This window comes from Homo sapiens, chromosome 16, assembly GCF_000001405.40.
Source record: "Homo sapiens chromosome 16, GRCh38.p14 Primary Assembly".
Lineage (NCBI taxonomy): Eukaryota > Metazoa > Chordata > Mammalia > Primates > Hominidae > Homo > Homo sapiens.
The window spans coordinates 90027074-90048884 of NC_000016.10; the positions used below are offsets into that span (position 1 = coordinate 90027074).

Consider the following 21811-nt stretch of genomic DNA (forward strand, 5'->3'; position numbering starts at 1 on the left):
GGCTAGGTTTCCTCTCTTTTTTTTTTTTTTGAGATGGAGTCTCACTCTGTCGTCCTGGCTGGAGTGCAGTGGTGTGATCTCGGCTCACTGCAAACTCCATGCCCCAGGTTCAAGCCATTCTCCTGCCTCAGCCTCCCGAGTAGCTGGGACTACAGGCGCCCACCGGCACGCCCGGCTAATTTTTTTTTGTATTTTTAGTAGAGATGGGGTTTCACTGTGTTAGCCGGGATGGTCTTGATCTCCTGACCTCGTGATCCGTCCACCTCGGCCTCCCAAAGTGCTGGGATTACAGGCGTGAGCCACCACGCCCGGCTCCTCTCTTTTCTAGAAGGAATGTTCTCCTTCTCAAAAGGAAGGTTTCTCCTTTGTGCTTCTCCAAATGCAACAACAGGATGTGTGTGTGGTAAAGGGTGGGAACACTCAGGGCAATGATGTGCTCCAGGTGAGCAGAAGGGAGAGAGGTTCCAGAACCTTCTCTGCCAAATGTTCCTGGGAGCAAATCAGAGCCAGCCAAGAAGGGGAAGCTGTTAGAGTCTCTCTTACCCCATTATTTCCACCAAAGGCACCGAAAAAGAAAGGGAAGAAAGGCAAAGCCAAAGGCACCCCGATTGTCGATGGGCTCGCTCCAGAGGACATGAGCAAGGAGCAGGTGAGCAGAGCGGGCTGTGGCCCAGTCCCCGGGTGGGCGTGGGCGGGCACCACGCAGGGTGCCTACGCCGAGTGTCCATCTTGCCATGTGGATCCACCCTTCTGTCCAAGCCAGAACACGCCCCCCGCGTGGCCCATAATTCCCATCAGCGGCAAAGCTTTCGGCTGCACCATGTCTTTTCAGAAAGGTAGTGCAGCCTGTGAAAGAGCTTTGTAACAGGGTGGTAGGAGTGTGGAAGGACATGCTTTTCTGATCTAAAAGCTGTTTTTAATTTCGTGTATTCTCTTTCAATCTTACCCTTTTTTTGCACCTGATGTGTATAGACTTATCGTAGAACACACATGTAGCATTCTCCTTTATTTTATTCACCATTAAACATTATGTCAAAAAGGAAGTTTTTGAAAGAAGGATGATTTACTTCAAATCACATCTGAATCTGATTAATCGTTCATTTTTTTTTTTTTTTTTTTTTTTTTTTTTGAGACGGAGTCTCACTCTGTCGCCCAGGCTGGAGTGCAGTGGCGCGATCTCGGCTCACTGTGAGCTCCACCTCCCGGGTTCACACCATTCTCCTGCCTCAGCCTCCCGAGTAGCTGGGACTACAGGCACCTGCCACCACGCCTGGCTAATTTTTTTTTTGTATTTTTAGTAGAGACGGGGTTTCACCGTGTTAGCCAGGATGGTCTCGATCTCCTGACCTCGTGATCCACTCGCCTCGGCCTCCCAAAGTGCTGGGATTACAGGCATGAGCCACCACGCCTGGCCAGTCATTCATTGTTTTTGATAAAAGTCCCAACAAGGAGTAACAGCATCAGGGCTGCCTTTTTCTTGTTGCTTATTTTGGGGAGGAGGTGATGTTTTTATAGTTTCTTTGTAGGAGTTAGTTTAAGTCTCTTCTTCATTTGGATGTAGTTAAGGGCTACAGAACATAATTACATAATTACAATTTTACCTAAAAGGCTCCTGGAGACGGCAGTGTGTGGCAAGCACGGTGCACCCTCTGGCCTCTGCCCTCATGGACGACTGCCTGTGAGCACCTGACATGGGACATGAGGGCTGTGTCAACTCTGTGTTATTGTTAATAAATCTTACCTTCTTTTGATAGTTGTAAGATAAAAAATCAATACGAAGGAGACTGAAAGAGTCTCATGACCTGAAGTTGGAGCTAGGCAGAGGTCCTTGAACAATGGTAAAGAATGGCTTTATTTTACATGCAGGCAAACCATTGGCAGTTTAAGCCAGTGGCTAAGCAGAGAGGTGATGGGGTCAGGTTTGTGTTCTGGAAAGATGTCTGGAGCTGCTGGATGGAGAATGGATTGAACACTGCGTTGTCCCAGCATGTGAGCTGCTGCCCGTCTCCCTGTCCGCTTCCCATTCCTGTGGAGACAGGCCTTGTGGGGCAGTGGCCATGGAGCCTACGGGGCAGCCTACGGGGCAGGCTACGGGGCAGCTTACGGGGCAGGCTATGGGGCAGCCTACGGGGCAGGCTACGGGGCAGGCCCTTGCACTGCACATCGCACGTTGAGCCACAGACTCAGAAGGCTTCTTCAGGGTCCAGGCAGGTGGGGAGGGATGGGGGTGACCTGGAGACTCCTGCCCCGCAGCAGAGGACAGTTTCATCTGTTCACTGGGGAGTGCCTTGTGGGCCTAGGAGTTCAGTGCTGTTTTTTTCTGATTTTCCAAGAGAAGCTGGAAATCTGGATATTTATAAGAAATCTGAATATTGAGTGATGGCAAAATCTCAACACCATGTGAGCCAAACAGACCAGTCAGGAGCCCTGGTTCAGGCTCTGCCCAGGAGCCTCTAAAGGTCTGTGACGTGAAGACATTTGTCGTTGTGCCGAGGCACTGGTTGGATTCGGGGGTGCGTGTCTCCCTCATGTCTGCCCGGCATCCTCGGCTCAGAACCCCTCCTGCTGCTCCTTCTTGTTTGCTCGTTGTCTTGTCTTCTTTTGAGGTGAGAAATGTGTTTTCCCTGTGGGGAATGTGGTGTTGAGAAAGAAAAAGGCTCACAGTAAGTGGCCTGGGGCTGTGCCCGAAAAGTAACTGATTCTGACGGAATCTCGCTGTGTGGCCCAGGCTGGAGTGCGGTGGCGCGACCTCGGCTCACTGCAAGCTCCACCTCCTGGGTTCACACCATCCTGCTGCTTCAGGCTGCCCAGTAGCTGGGACTGCAGGTGCCTGCCATCACGCCCGGCTAATTTTTTTGTATTTTTAGTAGAGACGAGGTTTCACCGTGTTAGCCAGGATGGCCTTGATCTCCTGACCTCATGATCTGCCTGTCTCTGCCTCCCAAAGTGCTGGGATTACAGGTGTGAGCCACCGCGCCTGGCAGTAACTGATTCTTAAGGGAAATGAGCTCCCGAGAAAGCTGGAAGCCTGTCCTACATTTTTTTTTAACCTATTTGCAGATTCGCAATTGAACCCTCTTGAGATTTTAGAGTCTACTGGTTTTGTATATTTTTTGCTTAACATTATATCTTCAAAGGTGAATTTTTTTTCATTTAGCATTATGATATGAATTTGTTTAAATGCTGCTACATCATTTGCATATTTTTTTTGGGTTAATGTGATATTTCTCCTAGTTGATATACTCTAATTTTTCAACCATTTCCATATTTATTTATTTATTGTTTAGAGACAGGGTCCTGCTCTGTCACCCAGGTGGAGTGCAGTGGTGTGATCACGGCTCACGGCAGCCTTGACCTCCCAGGTCCAAACGATCCTCCTACCTCAGTCTTCTGAGTAGCTGGGACTATAGGCATGTGCCACCACTCCTGGCTAATTTTTTTTTTTTTTTTTTTTTGTAGAGACAGGGTTTTGCCATGTTGCCTAGGCTGTTCAACTCTGGGGCTCAAAAGATCCTCCCAAAGTGGTGGGAGCCACCATGCCTGGCTGTTTGTGTATTTTTTGAGACAGATTCTCACTCTGTCACCCAGGCTGGAGTGTAGTGGCATGATCATAACTAACCGCAGCCTCAACCCCCTGAGCTTGAGTGACCCTCCCACCTCAGCTCTCCCAGTAGCTGAGACTATAGGTGCGTGCCATCATGCCTAGTTAATGAAAAAAAGTTTTTGCAGAGATGGGGTCTTGCTATGTTGCCCAAGCTGGTCTTCAGCTCCTGGGCGCGAGGGATCCTTCAACCTCAGCCTCCCAGAGTGCTGGGGTTGCAGGCGAGAGCCACCGCGCCTCGCTTATTTCCCTGTTTAAACTGGTCTTAGGTTATTTCCTTTTTGATATTTTTGCTGTTGTAATAATGGTGTGGGTAATATCTTTGAGCAAGATGCTCTTATATTTCTTTTGAGAAATTTTTTAGGCATCAATTCTCAGGAATGGATGAAAGGATCTAGTTATTTTATGATTATTGGCCAAATTGAAGAGAATTCTGCCACCTGCTGAATGCATTCTGTCTCCGGAGCTTCCTAGCCTTATATTTTAACTTTTTACATTTAGCTGTTTATTTTTAGGTGAAGTTGAGTCCTCCCTCTTTCTTCCTTGCCTTTCGCCGGCCACACGCCCCGTTGCCGTGCATGGGCCCCTGCTCAGTGCCTCACCTGACCCACTGCACCTGGCCAGGTGGAGGAGCATGTCAGCCGCATCCGGGAGGAGCTGGACCGCGAGCGGGAGGAACGAAACTACTTCCAGCTGGAGCGGGACAAGATCCACACCTTCTGGGAGATCACACGGAGGCAGCTGGAGGAGAAGAAGGCTGAGCTGCGGAACAAAGACCGGGAGATGGAAGAAGCCGAGGAGAGGCACCAGGTGGAGATCAAGGTGAGTGGGGCCGGCCTGCACGTGCTAACCTGGTCACCACAGAGCCCCAGAGGAGCTGGATCCAGTGAGGGTGCAGGTGGGACATTTTCTGTTCTTGGCTTTGGGAGTCACAGCCTTAAAGGTGTTTTTTATAAAAGCCTGAGGGAGAGACCCTGCAGGTCCTGAGGGTTTAAAATGCTGCCTCCACAACATGGAAGGAATATGGGCTCTGGGGGCAGACTGGCCTGTTTGCAACTCAGCTCTGCCACTTAATACCCCATGAGCTGGGGATGCACCTCACCTCCCAGCCTTGGTGTCCTGCTCTGTGCCTCAAGTGTACAGGTTTGCATAGGTGAACAGGCATGTGTAGCTGTGTAAAGGTGAGGCATGCAAGTGAGCAGGTGGATGCAAGTGAGCATGTGTGTGCAGGTGAGGAGGCGTGGCCAGGTGAGGAGGTATGTGCAGGTGAGGTGTGGGGAGGTGAGCACGTGGGGCAGGTATGTGCAGGTGAGCAGGTAGGTGCAAGTGACCAGGTGTCTACAGGTATGTACAGGTGAGGAGGTGTAGTACAGGTGTAGTGCAGGCGACCAGGTGTGTACGGGAATTTACAGGTGAGGAGGTGTACAGGTGACCAGGTGTGTACAGGTATGGACAGGTGAGAAGGTGTGGTACAGGTGTGGTGCAGGTGAGCAGGGGGGTACAGGTATGTACAGGTGAGGTGTGTTACAGGTACGGTGCAGGTGATCAGGTGTATACAGGAATGTACAAGTGAGGAGGTGTGGTACAGGTGACCAGGTGTGTACAGGTATGGACAGGTGAGGAGGTGTGGTACAGGTGTGGTGTGGGTGAGCAGGAGTGTACAGGTATGTACAGGTGAGGAGGTGTGGTACAGGTGACCAGGTGTGTACGGGTACGGACAGGTGAGGAGGTGTGGTACAGGTGTGGTATGGGTGACCAGGTGTGTACAGGTATGGACAGGTGAGGAGGTGTGGTACAGGTGACCAGGTGTGTACGGGTACGGACAGGTGAGGAGGTGTGGTGCAGGTGTGGTATGGGTGACCAGGTGTGTACAGGTATGGATGGACAGGTAAGGAGGTGTGGTACAGGTGACCAGGTGTGTACAGGTATGGACAGGTGAGGAGGTGTGGTACAGGTGTGCTATGGGTGACCAGGTGTGCACAGGTACGGAAAGGTGAGGAGGTGTGGTGCAGGTGAGCAGATGGTACTCCCATTGCCCTGCAGGTGTACAAGCAGAAAGTGAAGCACCTGCTATATGAGCACCAGAACAACCTGACAGAGATGAAGGCTGAGGGCACTGTAGTCATGAAGCTGGCACAGAAAGAGCACCGCATACAGGAGAGTGTGCTGCGCAAGGACATGCGGGCACTGAAGGTGGAGCTCAAGGAGCAGGAGCTGGCCAGTGAGGTGGTGGTGAAGAACCTGCGGCTGGTAGGTGTGGCGGGGGCACCTGGAGGCTGACAGGTTGTTGGGACGGCAAGCCTAGTGCTGCATGAACTCCTGTTTATTCAACAGCAACTGGGAATTCATATTTCTGCATAAGACTTTCTGCATTTTTGCAATTTGTTGAAAAAAAATTTTTTAAAGCATGCATCCAAACAAACCCCATTTTGGGACCAAGTACACAATTCTGTCTCAGACCTGAGCAAAAAATTGACGTCACCGAAGAGAAAAAATCCAGCTTAGGATCTTTCATGTGCTGCTGACACCTGACACCCAGAGACTTTTCCTAGGGAATAGCATCATATGCATTTAGTAGAATGCAAACCAACCATTAAAATATCCAGTGTGTTGACTCCTGGGCACTGTGACAGTTTGTCACACAAGCTGGTCTGATTTTTACTTTTGAGGCTGGGGGTTTCCAGGGCACCATTAAAATTCATCTGTGCACCTGGTTCAGTGGCTCACACCCAAAATCCCAGCACTTGGGAGGGTCAGGTGGGAGAAGTGGTTGAGGCCAATAGTTTGAGACTAGCTTGGGTGAAATAGTTGAACCCCATGTCTAAAAAATTTAAAAGAAAACATTAGCTGGTGTAGTGGCACATGCCGATAGTTTCAGCTACTTGGGAGGCTGAGGCGGGAGGATCCCTTGAGCTCAGGAAGTCAAGGCTGTGGTGAGCTAGGATTGTGCCACTGCATTCCAGCCTAGGTGACAGAGTGAGACAAAACAAAAAGGAAAGAGATCATTTGCTGAGTGTCCATTAGCTGCTAGGTCCTGATCTGATCTCTGACAAAACGCCTGCCCGACTGGGGCTGTTGGTCTAGAAAGGAGAGACAACAGGTGAGTTGGAAGACAAAATAAACGTGCCAGATACAACAGAGTATCTGGTGGGGAAGAGTGCCATAGAAGGATCGAAGTGGGGAGAGGTGGGGTGCGGTTTTGTACAAGCAGTTGACCGGCTGGGAGACGGGATGGGCCAGTGGGAAAGCTCAGAGTGACCAGGAGGAGACTGTGGGAGAGGGTCAGAGCTTGTCCGCCTCGAAAGCCGTGGTGGGGACTGGAGACGGGTCAGAGCTCGTCCGCCTCGAAAGCCGTGGTGGGGACTGGGACTTTGACCCTGGTGGAGTCTGTTGCCCTCTGAGAACTTGGGCAGAGGAGAGATGTGTCTCACTAAGGTTCTTCCTGGCTGCTGGGTTGAGGAGACTTTCTGAACACATTTGCCTCACGCCTGGAAGCAGTCCAGCCTCCACTGAATCTGGAAGAAACTTGGTGACGTTGCTGACTTCGCAGCAAAGCCTGAGAGTGCCGAAGTCTTGAGCCCTCCAGAATTAGCTGGTCTTAACCCAGGTCCTGGATATGATATTGTTACATAATCAGAGTTTCCTGTTGGGTAAAAATATGGCTTTAGGCCGGGTGCGGTGGCTCACGCCTGTAATCCCAGCACTTTGGGAGGCCGAGGAGGGTGTATCACGAGGTCAGGAGTTTGAGACCAGCCTGACCAACGTGGTGAAACCCCGTCTCTACTAAAAATACAAAAATTAGCCGGGCGTGGTGGCGCACACCTATAATCCCAGCTACTCGGGACGCTGAGGCAGAAGAATCACTTGAACCTGGGAGACGGAGGTTGCGGTGAGCCGAGATTGTGCCACTGCACTCCAGCCTGGGCGACAGTGTGAGAGTCTGTCTCAAAAAAAAGAAAAATTACTGCTTTAAAAATAATTTATTTTTTTATGCAAATTTTAAATATATAATGTTTATTTAAATATATAATAATTGTTCATTAAAACTATATATTTATTTATTTTTAGAGATGAGGTCTCACTCTGTCTCCCGGGCTGCAGTGCAATGGTACAATCATAGCTCACTGCAGCCTCGAACTTCTAGTCTCAAGTGATCCTTCTGCCTTAGCCTCCCAAGTAGCTGGAACTATAGATATGAGCCACCACACCCACCTAATCTTTTTTTTTTTTTTTTTTTTTTTTTTTTGAGATGGAGTTTTGCTCTTGTTGCCCAGGCTGGAGTGCAGTGGCACAATCTCAGTTCACCACAACCTCTGCCTCCCGGGTTCAAGCTATTCTCCTGCCTCAGCCTCTCGACTAGCTGGGATTACAGGCATGTGCCACCATGCCCGGCTAATTTTGTATTTTTAGTAGAGACGGGGTTTCTCCATGTTGGTCAGGCTGGTCTTAAACTCCCGACCTCAGGTGGTCTGTCCAGCTCGGCCTCCCAAAGTGCTGGGATTACAGGCGTGAGCCACTGTGCCCGGCAATCTTTAAATTTTCTGTAGAAGATCTTGCTATGTTGCTTAGGCTGCCCTTGAACTCTTGACCTCAAGTGATCCTCCTGCCTTGGCCTCCAGCGTGCTGGGATGACAGGAATGAATCCTTTTAATATGCTGCTTCAGGCAGCAGTGCAGCAGGTTGGAAGCTACACACGGCACCTGGAAAGATCCCACAGCTCTGTGTGGATGTGGCTGCTGCTCTTCAGGCTGTGGGATGGTTTGGCGATGGAACCAAGCGGGTTCAGTGCTCACGACGTCTGTTCATGTTCTCTCTCAAGCTTAGAGGTGACTTTAGTTGAGGGAGGTGAGTTAGGGAATATGGAGGTGACCAAAACCATGAGGAACAGGGTCAGCCTGAAGGGAGCGGGCTTCCCTCTGTGTCCGGCTGTGTAGTAATGGCCGCTTCTCCCTGTGCAGAAACACACCGAGGAGATCACCAGGATGCGGAATGATTTTGAGAGGCAAGTTCGAGGTCAGTTTCCCGTGTGCTCATTGTGTAGGTGCCAGAGACACCCCCGCCCCATCAGAGAGGAATTTACCTCCAGAGCTTGTTAACTCAGGGAGCAAAAACTGGATTAAAACAGCCAAGGCATGCAAGAGAAAGAACATGGAAGTTTCCAAGGCCAGTGGACCCACTCAGAATCCCAGAACAACCTATTTCCATGTGAGTTTGGGAGGCTGTGATTACCACACACATTCCCACTCCTAGCTAAAATCAGTAGTTATCAGCAGGTGGTAGCTATTCAGTGCCGTGGGCAGCCTTCTTAAAATAGTCTTCTCCATGGCTCCTGGTCTGAGAAGGCTCCAATTTCAGAAGTCTCTGTGTTTTACTAATAAAGGCTGATTGTGGCTGGGTGGCCACACAGGCCTCGGTTACTGCTCACTGGGGTCAGCTGACATTCAGCTGTTGGCACCCCCAGTGCAGGGAGCGATTAGCAATGCCTGTCACTGGCAAAGGCAGGCCGACAGTGGTGTGTGTGCTGAGTGTGAGCATCAGCAGAAAAACTCAGTCTAAACCCCTTTGTTCTTCTCTTGCAGAGCTTTTGCCTGCAAGGCTGTTCTGACCACAGTGGGCGTTTTGGGCCCGTTTACAGGCTCCATGTTCTGTAGCCGTAGGGGCACCACGTCTTCCTCTGCTAAGCTGCTGTTTGCTGCTGCCTTTCAGAAATTGAGGCCAAGTATGATAAGAAGATGAAGATGCTGAGGGACGAACTCGACTTGCGGAGAAAGACTGAGCTCCACGAAGTGGAGGAGAGGAAGAATGGCCAGATCCACACGCTGATGCAGCGCCACGAGGAGGCCTTCACCGACATTAAGAACTACTACAACGACATCACCCTCAACAACCTGGCCCTCATCAACTCCCTCAAGGTGCTGTGCGTGGGCTGGGCTGGGGAGGCACACTCTGCCTGTCCTAGAATGTGGGCTGCAGAGTCCTGGGGATCCAGACCCCAGCTCTCCACCCCAACACACCCAGTACTTTTTATAAGATTGTTTGACAATGCCCCTCTCATATCCTTAACTGAAATTCCTAAATAACGTAACCTATCTCTACCTATTGTTAAAAGCAGTCAGGATATTGCCCTCACCGTAGTGCAGAGGGGGAAGTAATGAAGTGTGTTCTGGTTTGTAAAAGCTCAGATGGAACCGCAGTGAGGGCCGTGATGTGGCTGGAGTGGATAGGTGTCATAGTCACTGCCTGCGACAGGTGGATAGGTGTCATCGTCACTGCATGCTGGCAGTGACAGGATTTTCTACAGTAGACAACGGCCCTTGGTGGAATCTTGAACAAAGTATAGTCCTTCAGTCTGCATGGAAGCTGCATTCCCAGAAAACTCAGAATAAGTTGAAGCTGCAGAAATACTGTTTATACATAGAAGACGTCTAGGTGCCAGCATGCCTGAGGCTGGCAGCAGCTGGTGATGGGCAGGAGAGCACCCAGCTCTCACCATGCAGGCCACAGCCCCTTTGGTTCTGCCTGCTGAGCCCCTGCCGGGCCTGTGCTTGTGCCTGCAGGAGCAGATGGAGGACATGCGGAAGAAGGAGGACCACCTGGAGAGGGAGATGGCAGAGGTGTCTGGGCAGAACAAGCGCCTGGCAGACCCTCTCCAGAAGGCTCGGGAGGAGATGAGCGAGATGCAGAAACAGCTCGCAAACTACGAGAGGGACAAGCAGATCCTGCTTGTGAGTTTCCCGCTGGATTCCTCTCCCTCCTTGGCATGAGCTTGCCTAGGCTCAGGAGGGAGGAGCATCACAGGGAGGGGCTTGGCCCTTAGGGCAGGAAGGGAGACGGGGAGGCCTGCATTTCTCCTTTCTCTGCCTCGTGTTCTCCTGGGGAAAGTAAAGTCTGGGGGTGTTTTGGAGACAAGGCCCTCATCTTCACCACGTGCTACCGGCCGGCCTTGGTGAGACTCAGCTGCTTGTGTCCTGGAACCAGGTCTTTCTGGCGATTATTTTTGGCCTTGCCATCTCCCAGGAGCCCGTGTTACTTGGATGACTGTGAATCTTGAATACTTTCTGTCCCCTACTCCCTGTTTTTCCTCCAGTGCACAAAAGCCCGTTTGAAAGTCAGGGAGAAAGAGCTGAAAGACCTGCAGTGGGAGCATGAAGTGTTAGAGCAGCGATTCACCAAGGTGAGTGGCACCACGCTGGCCCTGCAGTTGGCGGTGGGTGTTAGAGCAACGGTTCACCAAGTTCACCAAGGTGAGCGGGCACTAGGCTGGCCCTGCAGTGGGGATGGCACCCCTGCTAGCCAGGGACGGGGCTCTCCTTGTGGCCCCTGGACCAGCTTCAGATGCCTTGGCCAGGTTTCTGGGTTCTGAAGCTGGAGGCCCTGTTCCCTGTAACTCATTCCGCAGCTTCTAAGAGGCAAAAACCTGTGGCCTGTTCTGCATGCATATTCTGCAGAAGGCCTGGGGTCTTGATGGGGAACGGATCACACATGACTTTCGTCCCCTCGAGAGCTCACCTCTGAAAGCACATGAGGGAGGCTCTTAAGTGTAAGTGAAGATGAGTCTCCGGCTGCTCAGTGCTGGTCCTCACACTGGCGAGTTTTATGGGCTCCCTTCCAGGTTTCCTGCATGCTCTCGTGTGGATGTGACTTTGTATGTTACGAACACGGGATCAGGCCATAAGCACAATTTGCTTTTTAATCTCACAGTGTATCAGGCTGCACATAGGAAGCGGTCTCATCCTTTTCACAGCTGCTTGGTGCTGCGTTTTGTGAACGTTTGATCATTTAGCCGACTCCCGTCTGTTTCTAATGCTCTGCTGCTATAAGCATTGCTGCCTCAATCCTTTTAAATTTGTCTTTGTGCACTTGTGTGAGATTGCTTCTTAGGAAAGCCAGTTCCTAGCAGTGGGATTGTTGAGTCTGAGGGTTCTGTTCTGAGGACCCTGATCATCTGTCCAGAGGGCTGCTCTGAGTCACACACCTGCCAGGGTGCGGAGGGGCCGTTTCCATCCTCACCTGCACCAGATCTGACAGGTTTAAACCTTTGCAGAAGTGACTGGGTGGAAAACATCTCATTTCGTGGGCACTTCCAAGATTCGCAGTGAGTGGTAGGGGTGCTCGGTCCTGTCTCTGTCCCTTAAAGACGCTCCTTGCCTCTGTTCAGTTTCAAAGTTCTGGCCAAGGACCAATCCCTGCAGCATGGGCCCCTCAAGGCTTTGTCTGTGGTGTGCGGGGCCAGGGCATCTTATCTTGAGCCGCAGTTATATGTGCTGTTTTGTTCTCTAACCTAATTGAAATTTTTGAACACAAACCGTTGTAGTGGGATTCGCTTCTCAGAAATATCCCATCTGTCTGTCAGATCTAGCCCCACCTTCAGAGACACCTCAGGTCCTGCACGACGTGCATTGCTAGGCTGTGCCAACTCTTGGCACCTAAGGGAAGGGCACCTGCAAGGTAGTCAGTGAGATCCTGAGGACTGCTGTGTTAGACAAGGGGCCCTTCCTTCTCCCTGTGGGTTTTGAGGTGGACATTATTGGGAAGAGGACAGCAGAGACGTGCCTGGGTTGGAGCCTTGTTTTCTGTCACATTTTCTTCCATTTGAATGTGGTTCCTGACAGTGTCCAAGCTGGTGTCTCTTCCTAGAGAACCGAGAGCTCAAATTTATCAGCAAAATTTAGAGACCAAGGCAGTTATTTATTTATTTATTTATTTATTTATTTATTTATTTATTTTTGAGATGGAGTTTCGCTCTTGTTGCCCAGGCTGGAGTACAATGGCACGATCTCGGCTCACTGCAACCTCCACCTCCTGGGTTCAAGTGATACTCCTGCCTCGGCCTCCCGAGTAGCTGGGATTACAGGCGCCTGCCACCACGCCCGGCTAATGTTTGGTATTTCTGATAGAGACAGGGTTTCACTCTGTTGGCCAGGCTGGTCTCGAACTCCTGACCTCAGGCGATCCACCCACCTCACCCTCCCAAAGTGCTGGGATTACAGGCGTGAGCCACCACACGCTGCTCAGGGTGTTCACTTTTTTATAGTCTTCAACAAAGTCTAGATTTTTTTAGAATGCACAATTAATAAGTAGAAGAATTAGGAGATAAAAAAGAACAGTTTTACTGGCTGGCAGGTAGCTGGCTCCAAGGCCGTGCTCCAGATCCACCATTTGTGGGGCGGACAGCACATGTGATGCCAGGATCTGGGGCTGGCCAAGGGAGCATATCCTCCAAGGGGCCCCACCTGCAAGCTCGGCCTGCTGGATGCCCTGGATCTCAAATCTCACCTGAGCCCACAGCCCTCACTCGGGCAAGACTGGCCTCGGCCACCCATGAAGCAGCTTTCAGGGTGGGGCTGCTTCAGCTCTTACCAGGACACTTATGGCTTCCAGAGACACCTTCCTGAGAGAAGGGCTTATGCTGATGTGTTCCTCCTGCCTTCCACTGCGTGGATGGCTCTACAAAGGGCCAGGGCGCAGGCAGTGTGGACAACACACTGACCCCGGTGCTGTGGGAGTGGGCACTGTTGGGAGGCAGCGTGTTCCAGGCAGGTGCAGAGGTGGGAGGCAGCATCTTCCCAGCGAGATGTCCCCAGGTGAGGGGCCTCATCGCCCACCCCCAGCGCTGTCCCTACAGGTGCAGCAGGAGCGGGACGAGCTCTATCGGAAGTTCACCGCAGCCATCCAGGAGGTGCAGCAGAAGACAGGGTTCAAGAACCTCGTGCTAGAACGCAAGCTGCAGGCTCTGAGCGCCGCTGTGGAGAAGAAGGAGGTGCAGTTCAACGAGGTCCTGGCTGCCTCTAACCTGGACCCTGCAGCCCTGACGCTGGTGTCCCGCAAGCTGGAGGTAGGCCCTAGACAGGCTCCTGACCCCAGTGGGCGGCCTCATCCCTGTGGCAAGAGTCTTCAGTTCTGTGCTGCTCCTCGGATAGGCACAGAGACCCCTCGGTCGGCCACTGAGGAGGGGCATTCATGGGTTTCCTGTGGCCAGTTTCGGGCCAGTTGGGAACTGTGGAAGGGCTGGGCAGGGGAACCAGATCAGGGCCCACTCTGCTATTGATGGGGAGCACAGGGCTGGAGGGGGCTGGTTGGGGCCAGCACAGAATGGGGACGGGCAGAGGGTTGGAGAGCCGCCAGGAGGCTGAGTCCACAGGTGGGGCTGGGAGGGGCCGAGGTGACTTGGTGTTTGCACATGGGGGAACGACGGGTCCCGGCCCAGTGGGCGGTGGTGCCTGTGGGACCCTGGTCATCTGGGATGGCCTGGCTCTCAGGGCCTGAGGTAGTGAGGCTGTATAGGAGGGGCCTCACCTGGGCCAGAGGCACTGTGGCCCCGGGACTGAAAACTCATCTTTGTTTGCTCAGCACTGGGCCCAGTGAGCACAGGCAGGTGAGGGAGTGAGGGTCCCACTGTTGGGAGGTGGGGGAGGCGTGTTTCCAGCTCCTGGCTGAGGGCTGCACCCAGCCTGCTGCTAAGCCACCGAAATGAGGGTGAAGAGAGCAGTCGTGGCCTGTGAGGGTCATTGCAGCTGCGCCCACGCGCCAGGGTGAGGATGGAGGATGGAGCTAAATGTGGGTCAACCCCTCCTTTCCTGGTCATTGTTACCTCGACTTCTAAGTGAGGAATCTTCTGGGGAAATGACAGAGGCCCCCGCAGGGACACTGTTTGCTGCTGGCCAGGTGTGAGGGGGCTGCTGTGTCAGTGGGCAGCAGGGACGGCTCTAAAGCCAGGCTGGGCCCAGCAGTGCCCCACAGGCAGGAGCCCAAGAAGTCCCTGCCTCGCCACGTGGTGAGACCCTTGCCCACATCTGGGCGGGGCCAGCGCTGCTGAAGACTACTTTTTTCTGTTACAAAAAAGTGGGATAGCCGGGCGCGGTGGCTCACGCCTGTAATCCCAGCACTTTGGGAGGCTGAGGTGGGCAGATCACGAGTTTGGGAGTTCAAGACCAGCCTGGCCAAGATGGTGAAACCCCGTCTCTACTAAAAATACAAAAATTAGCTGGGCTTGGTGGCGGGTGTAATCCCAGCTATTTGGGAGGCTGAGGCAGAGAATTCCTGGCACCTGGGAGGCGGAGGTTGCGGTGAGCCTAGATCGCGCCACTGCACTCCAGCCTGGGCAACGGGGCGAGACTCCATCTCAGAAAAAAAAGTGAGATAGTACATTCACAAGCCTCAAGAAATTTAAGCAATATGTAGGTGGTGTTTAGTGACCAGTCTCCACAGTGTGGCTGCACGCTGCCTGCCCTCACCTCATCTGCATTTCTTGTGGTCTGGACTGCTCTTTGAGTTTTTTCTTGAGACGGTGTCTTGCTCTGTCACCCAGACTGGAGTGCAGTGGCTCAATCTCGGCGCACTGCAACCTCCGTTTCCCAGGTTCAAGCAATTCTCATGCCTCAGCCTCCTGAGTAGCTGGGATTACACAGGTGTGAGCCACCGTGCCCGGCTACTTTTCGTATAGTAGAGACGGGGTTTCGCCACGTTGGCCAGGCTGGTCTCAAACTCCTGACCTCAAGTGATCTGCCCTCCTTGGCCTCCCACACTGCTGGGATCACAGGTGTGAGCGGCAGTGCCTGGCCTGGACTGTTGCTGGAGAGGCAGGTTGTGCAAGCTCCCAGTTCTCTGCTTCTTCCTTGTTTTCTCTCCACCCTTGGAGACCTTTTTCTGCTGACAACCCTGTGTGGATGGATGCATCCATCAAACCAGGCTGCTATTCGCTGGATCTCTCAGAACGCCCACTGGAGTCCCCAGGCCGCTCCCGTTGCCTCGGCCAAAAGATGAGTCTCAAACTCCCATCACCTCTCTCTCCTCAGGATGTTCTTGAGTCGAAGAACAGCACCATCAAGGACCTGCAGTATGAGCTGGCCCAGGTCTGTAAGGTACGGCTGTGCCCTGCCCTCCCTCAGGGGCACCCCCTCGGTGCCCAGACTGTTCTAAATGCAGACGGTCTCTGAGGACCCCACCTGTGCCCACTTCGTACCTCGTTTGACAAGGCAGCTGTCACTGTCCCCACGTGAGGGTGCAGTCATAGCCGAGAGCATCTGGATTCTGTGTGGTCTGGGGCAGTGCACTGCTGTCTAGGCCATGTCTCTGCTGGGATGGGTGTAGGGGGGGACCTGGACGCTTCCCTGGTCAGCCCCTTCCCCTGGGCAGGGAGTCAGAAGGTGCTGTGCCCACCGGGGAAGGAAACAGACGTCATTCAACAGGGGAAGGGAGGGCGTGAAGAACCTGAGTGGGAAACACCCAGCCAGGGCCCAGAGCCCTCCCAGACCACAGCTCTGCCCTGAGTGTCCCTGCCCTCTGCCTCCGTCTCGTCATTTGTGGAATAGGAATAGTGACAGCCTCTCCCTGTCGTGCTACCTGAGCCAACGCAGTGAAGGTGCTTGGAGCTGTGTCCCACACGGGAAATGACTGATAAGCCTTTGGCTTTATCCTTCTGCACCGTGATGCTCACGCTGCCCCTCCATGGAGCTGCACTCAGCTCTGGTGGTCCTGAGCGTGGGGACCCTCAGCTCCCTGACACTGCCCTGTCTCCACAGGCCCATAACGACCTGCTGCGCACGTATGAGGCAAAGCTGCTGGCCTTCGGGATCCCTCTGGACAACGTGGGCTTCAAGCCCTTGGAAACAGCTGTGATCGGACAGACACTGGGCCAGGGCCCCGCGGGACTGGTGGGCACCCCGACGTAGCTGCCCCCCTGGGGGGCCACAGCCCAGAGAACCAGCCTAGGAACACTCGGGATGACACCCCTTATCACACCAAGGACAGCAAGTTTTTTAGATTTTATCATCAGCAAATGAAAGCTTTTCACATGTTCTTGCCATCCTCTTTCCTGGCTCTGTGGAGGAGAACCACCTGCAGGACCCTCACCCATGGTGTCCCTGTCGCTCCCTTCCCTGGGTGCCGCACGTCCAGCCTGTGTCCAGGCCTACTCCCTGGTCTCACCTCCGACCACAGTCGGCGGCACCTTCTCAGAGTGCCCCGCACTCACCTGGGGGTTGGGGCAGTGCCGCGCTGTGCTGCCTGTCTTCGCGCCACTGTTGTCCCACCGAATGGACAGCTTTGCAGGTGCTGGCACTAACTTCATTGACACCTGAGTCACAGCTGCCCAGTGGGATTCTCCAGGGGGCCGGGACTTCCCTAGGAAGTGGTGAGCCAATGCTCCCTGATGAGCACAAAGCCCGCTCTGTTGAGGGCTGGGTGGGTGCAGCCAGCGTGCGGGAACGGGCAGGCAGCCTCCCGCTGCCAGTCTTCGCTCTAACTCCCTCGGTAGGTGATGTAGGACCAGGGGCACGTGGAACTTCTGGGCCTTGCTGGTGATGGTTAAAACAACCTGAGATGGAGAGGCCAGGAGAGAGTATAAGGGGATAGCAGCAAACCACCTATCTGGCCCCAACACACCTGAGAGAATTCAGCAGCCCAGACTGAGGGTCTGGGATGGGGTGAACCTTCCGCACCAGAGGGACACTCCACAGAAGCCACAGCCCAGTAAGTCAGGCGCTTCTGCGGCGGCTCCAGTGTGGGGTGAGGCAGTGAGGTTAGGCCCAGAGAGCTGGAGTTGGCTCAGATGAAAACCTCTGTCAACAAAGAGGGGATGAATCACCCTTGGCCCAGCCTCCCCACAAAGCCTGACCCTGGGCAGGTGAGTGACGGGTGTGTCCTCGTAGAGTCTATTGCTGCCTGGACACCTTTCTTTTGGGAGCTCAAAGCAAGTGAGCTCACCTACCTGCCACCGCCCAGGACCAGTCTGCCCACTGCCTAAATGATGCCCGGCCAGCAGGACCTGGCCTGCAGATCCCAGTGAGTCATGAGCCTCAGCCCCCTCCAGCCCACTGGGGCTCTCACCTCCACATGTGGGTAGAAGCTTTCCTGCCCCCTCTTCCTCCAGTAGCCCTCAGTGTCGAAGGTGAGCTTGTAGGTGCCTGCCTTCATCTGGTCCAGGACAGTGACCATCTGGGTCTGTGTAGCTGGGGAGAGGATGAGGCTGCAGAGATGGGGACCAGAAGCCCCCCACCCCAGCTTTCCTGGGTCTGCATCCCAGTGGGCCTCAGACACTGCCCTGCCACCTGTCAGACTTGGGTGAGCAGACACAGTGAGGCTGTTAGGTCCTGCAGTTCCAGAGCAGTCTAGGGACACCACTGCCCTGTCTTTAGGAAATCACAACACAGAGAAGCAAAAAGGGAAAAAGTCTCCCACAATTTATCCCATGAGCAAGAACCACTTTATAGCTGGCATATATTTTTCCAGATTTTCTCTATGCATAAGTATATTTGTTTAAAAACTTATAAAGTGGATTATACTATTTGTATTGTTTTATAACCTGTGGTTTTCACTTAAAATATTGTGTATGGCTGGCTGGGCGTGGTGGCTCACACCTGTAATCCCAGCACTTTGGGAGGCTGAGACAGGCGGATCATGAGGTCAGGGTATCGAGACCATCCTGGTTAACACGGTGAAACCCCATCTCTACCACAAAAAAATTAGCTGGGCGTGGTCACGGGCACCTGTAGTCCCAACTCGGGAGGCTGAGGCGGGAGAATGGCATGAACCCAGGAGGCGGAGGCTGTAGTGAGCCGAGATCGTGCCACTGCACTCCAGCCTGGGCGACAGAGCGAGACTCCATCTCAAAAAAAAAAAAAAAAAAAAAAAAAAAGTGTGTGGCTTTCTGGGTCAATAACTACCAAACCTTCACCCACAGAGTGGGCCTGTCCAACTCCACGGAGCGTCTGTGTTGTGTGCCCTGGTCCCTTATCAGGGTTCTGAATAACCGTGGCTTTGCCCATAGTCACTTCTGGAAAACCTCCCATCATTCTTGCCAGCTGGTCTTTAAAGTGTGCGCTTCTGCTGTGATTAGAAAGAGCAGGCCCGAACAAGGTGGCTCACACCAGTAATCCCAGCACTTTGGGAGGCCAAGGTGGGTGGATCACGAGGTCAGGAGTTCAAGATCAGTCTGGCCAAGATGGTGAAACCCTGTCTCTACTAAAAATACAAAAATTAGCCGGGGGTGGTGGCAGGTGCTTGTAATCCCAGCTACTCGAGAGGCTGAGGCCAAGAATTGCTTGAACTGGGTAGGTGGAGGCTGCAGTGAGCCAAGATCGTGCCACTGCACTCCATCCTGGGCAACAGAGAGACTCCATCTCAAAAAAGAAAAAGAGCATAGCACGCTGGGTGTGGTGGCTCACGCCTGTAATCCCAGCACTTTGGGAGGTCGAGGTGGGTGGATCACCTGAGGTCGGGAGTTTGAGACCAGCCTGACCAACGTAGAGAAACCCCGTCTGTACTACAAATACAAAATTAGCTGGCGTGGTGGTGCATGCCTGTAATCCCAGCTACTAGGGAGGCTGAGGCAGGAGAATCGCTTGAACCCAGGAGGCGGAGGTTGCGGTGAGCTGATGCCACGCCATTGTACTCTAGCCTGGGCAAGAAGAGTGAAACTCTGTCTCAACAACAACAACAACAACAAACATAGCGTGTGTGCATGAGGGTAATGAGTCTCTGTGACCCTGCACGGGACGCCCAGCCCACACAGTGCTGTCCTAATTGCTCAGGTGGGACCTGGACCCCTCGTGTCTCAGCTTTTGTGAAGGACCACACGACTGTAGGAGCGGCAGGGTCAGACTCTCTCTGATCCTATGGGCCCAGCCCTGTCCTTCTGGCTGGAAGGGAGGGGGCCTGCCTCTTACGCAGGGGCCATGAGGCCTGGGTGGGTGACATCTGCCTCTGGAAGTGCCGCGCAGAGCCTGTGCCTGGGGCAGTGGGCAAGACCCCATGGAGGCTGAGGGACACACTGCCCCTCAGGCCTGGCTGGGAATCCCAGCACGCACCTGGGCTTGCTACCTCAGTCTTCCCATGTGTAGAAGGGTGAATTATGGTGCTGGCCCACGGGGTGTATGGAGAATGAAAAGAGTGGAAATAATGTCCAGCGTACTGCCTGGCACAAGGTTACCCGTGATCTCAGTGAGCTCTTCGATGCCACCTCAGGCCTCACCTCACCACCACCCCCCGCCCTCGCCCTGGCACAGCTGCCAGGGAGAGGCAGAAACTCACTCCCACCCCATCAGGGTCACAGGGGCCTGAGGCTGGAGGGAGGGAGGAAAGAGCTCCTCTCCTCATCCCTGTATTTTCAGAGGAGGAAACGGGCTGAGAGAAGCAGAAGAGAGAGCCCCTAACCTCACTCCCAACCCGGGCTGAGAGGAGGGTCGGCAGCGGTGAGCTCCGCCCTCCAGCCTCACTGCCTGGCCCCTTAGTCCCCGCCATCTGTCTCAGGGCGGCACTCCCCCTCCCAGGGCCTCTCTCCTACCTTGTCCTCAGCTCCGCCCACTGCTGGCCGTGGTCCTCCAGCCAGCACAAGCGGAGGCAGAGGCCTCTGGCTGGGAGCCCTGAGGCGGTGTCCAGCACGTGGGTGGTCAGTAGGTTGTCCGGAGGCTCCGTGCTGCTGCCCTGGGCCAGGAGAAGGAGGCCAGGGTGAGCCTCTGGAGCCCTGTGCCCGCCTACCCACACCAATCCTGCGTCCACACCAGCTGTGGGGCTTAAACAGCCCTCTGGACAGAGTTCTCCGAGCTGCCCAGGGGACAGGGGGCAAGGGTGACCGGAAGTGCCCAGGCAGCTGATGAGGCACCAAACGTAAACAGCGCAGCCTGTGCCTGCCGACCCTCCCCCACCAATCCCTGTGGCTCCCCTGCCCCACTGGGGACACCCACTGTCCCGCCCACGGCCCCACGAAATGGCCATTTCCCCCCAGGCCCTCAGTTCCAGCCCCTGGGGTGGTTCTCCCGGAACTGGGCTCTCCTCCGCGCCCCGGTTCCTGGGCCCTCGACGCTCAGCCCCACGCAAGCAGCTGAGGGGACAGGAGCCCTGCAGGTCCAGGCCTGGCCCCCTAACCTCCTGGGGGCCTAGGTGTCGCTGGAGCCTCAGCAGCCGCGGGACGGCCCGGGGGCTCATCCTGCCCTGCCGGACTGCGACGCCCGCGGGCAAAGGGAAGGGCGGGGCCGGTCACCCCGCCCCGGACCACCTCGTGCCCACCAGGAGGGCCCCAGCGGGGCTTTGCCCAGGAAGGTGCGCTGGTGGCGAATCAGGGCGCACAGACCTGGGGCCCAGAAGCGGAGTCGCGAGGACCTGCTGGGGGGTGGTGGGGGCGGGGACGGGGGCGGGGCCGCGGTGAGAAGGGGCGGGACCGCGGTGAGAGGGGGCGGGGGGCGGGGCCGCGGTGAGATGGGGCGGGGCCGCGGTGAGGGGGCGGGGCCGCGGTGAGAGGGGGCGGGACCGCGGTGAGAGGGGGCGGGACCGCGGTGAGAGGGGGCGGGACCGCGGTGAGAGGGGGCGGGACCGCGGTGAGAGGGAGCGGGGGGCGGGACCGCTGTGAGAGGGGGCGGGGGGACGGCGGGACGGGGGGATGGGGGGATGGAGGGGATGGGGGCGGGCCAGGTGGGTCCCAAGAAGACCTGCGCGAGACTGGGGACGGCGCGGGGCCCATCTCTCCCCTGGGAGGCTCAGAGGCCCGCAGGTTTCTCATGGAAGCCCCTCACAGGGTAAGTTTCCCCCGACAGGCCATGTGACCTTGCCTCGGTTTTCTCATCTGTAAAATGGGAGCAGTGGTGACTCCTCAGATTGTTGATATGGCTCCGTAGGTGAAGCTCTCTGAGCTGACCTCCCCCCCGCCCTTCCTCCCCGCAACGCGCGGTGGATGAGCGCAGGGTGGAGGCCCGTGCCCTGCAGAAAGTGAGAAAAGCCATAGAACTGCGTGTGCCGGCGAGTATCCATCGTTGTATTAACCTTACGTAATATACAGAGAACACATTTTGACTATATGTTATATATGTGAAGTCCTCATTAGGGAAAGGGAGGCAGGGGAAAGCAAACAGAGAAAGCAGACAAGCTACTAGTCTGCCTTCTTCATGCTCCAGGACACACAGCCCTCCAGACACACGGCAAATAACACATTCTTCCTGCGCCCCAGTCTCACCAGACGCCTGAAGGTTATTAACGCACACTCTCCAGCAAGGCTTTGTTTCTGTGCAGTCAGTTTCTCTTCTGCTGGCTGCCCGTCTTCTCTCTGGCAACGTATTTTCCTACTTTCTCTAGTAAATCTGCCTTCTCTTACATACAACTGTCTTGGTAAATTCTTTTATCCTCAAGCCACTGGCAGTCGTTCACCTGCCACAATGTATTAATGAAATAACGGACATTCTCTATTTAAAATCTGGGAAACGCTGCACCCGCATGATGGTG

At 54.4% G+C, this 21811-nt stretch overlaps 1 protein-coding gene, 1 long non-coding RNA gene and 1 pseudogene across 9 annotated transcripts in view, besides 1 other annotated feature; 1 reads left to right on the forward strand and 2 right to left on the reverse strand.

Moving 5' to 3' along the window:
- DRC4 (dynein regulatory complex subunit 4) overlaps positions 1-17887 on the forward strand; it is a 25328-nt gene extending 7441 nt beyond the window's left edge. For 2 of the 6 annotated variants that reach the window (NM_001286209.2, NM_001481.3), the window contains exons 2-11: positions 563-649; positions 4226-4423; positions 5645-5851; positions 8560-8614; positions 9308-9513; positions 10159-10326; positions 10689-10775; positions 13227-13436; positions 15397-15462; positions 16123-17887. In NM_001286209.2, coding sequence (NP_001273138.1) covers positions 635-649; positions 4226-4423; positions 5645-5851; positions 8560-8614; positions 9308-9513; positions 10159-10326; positions 10689-10775; positions 13227-13436; positions 15397-15462; positions 16123-16272 — 1362 coding nt within the window. In that variant the 5' untranslated portion in view covers positions 563-634 and the 3' untranslated portion in view covers positions 16273-17887. Of the gene's footprint in view, positions 1-561; positions 650-4102; positions 4424-5644; positions 5852-8559; positions 8615-9307; positions 9514-10158; positions 10327-10688; positions 10776-13226; positions 13437-15396; positions 15463-16122 lie in introns of those variants that run through there. The other 4 variants (NM_001286205.2, XM_006721175.4, XM_011522992.3 and 1 more) reach the window with 4 other exon arrangements.
- Positions 1826-2828, reverse strand: GAS8-AS1 (GAS8 antisense RNA 1). The gene has a single exon (NR_122031.2). It is a non-coding gene; the product is annotated as a GAS8 antisense RNA 1 (long non-coding RNA).
- Positions 12688-20710, reverse strand: URAHP (urate (hydroxyiso-) hydrolase, pseudogene; annotated as a pseudogene). 2 transcript variants are annotated; one of them, NR_027335.2, is made up of 5 exons: positions 20465-20552; positions 19884-20023; positions 17429-17550; positions 16575-16916; positions 12688-13344 (listed from the first exon to the last, which is right to left on the reverse strand). The product of NR_027335.2 is annotated as a urate (hydroxyiso-) hydrolase, pseudogene, transcript variant 2 (transcript). The 2 variants fall into 2 exon arrangements; NR_027336.2 differs by lacking the exons at positions 12688-13344; positions 20465-20552 and adding an exon at positions 20670-20710 and having other exon boundaries at positions 15829-16916.
- Positions 19350-19863: an enhancer, noted in NCBI's record as "H3K4me1 hESC enhancer chr16:90112831-90113344 (GRCh37/hg19 assembly coordinates)". NCBI's record gives its function as "activates a minimal SCP1, AML or CMV promoter by ChIP-STARR-seq in naive H9 embryonic stem cells {active_cell/tissue: H9 hESC(naive)}" and the evidence as "EXISTENCE:reporter gene assay evidence [ECO:0000049][PMID:30033119]".
- Positions 20711-21811: the final 1101 nt, after the last annotated feature.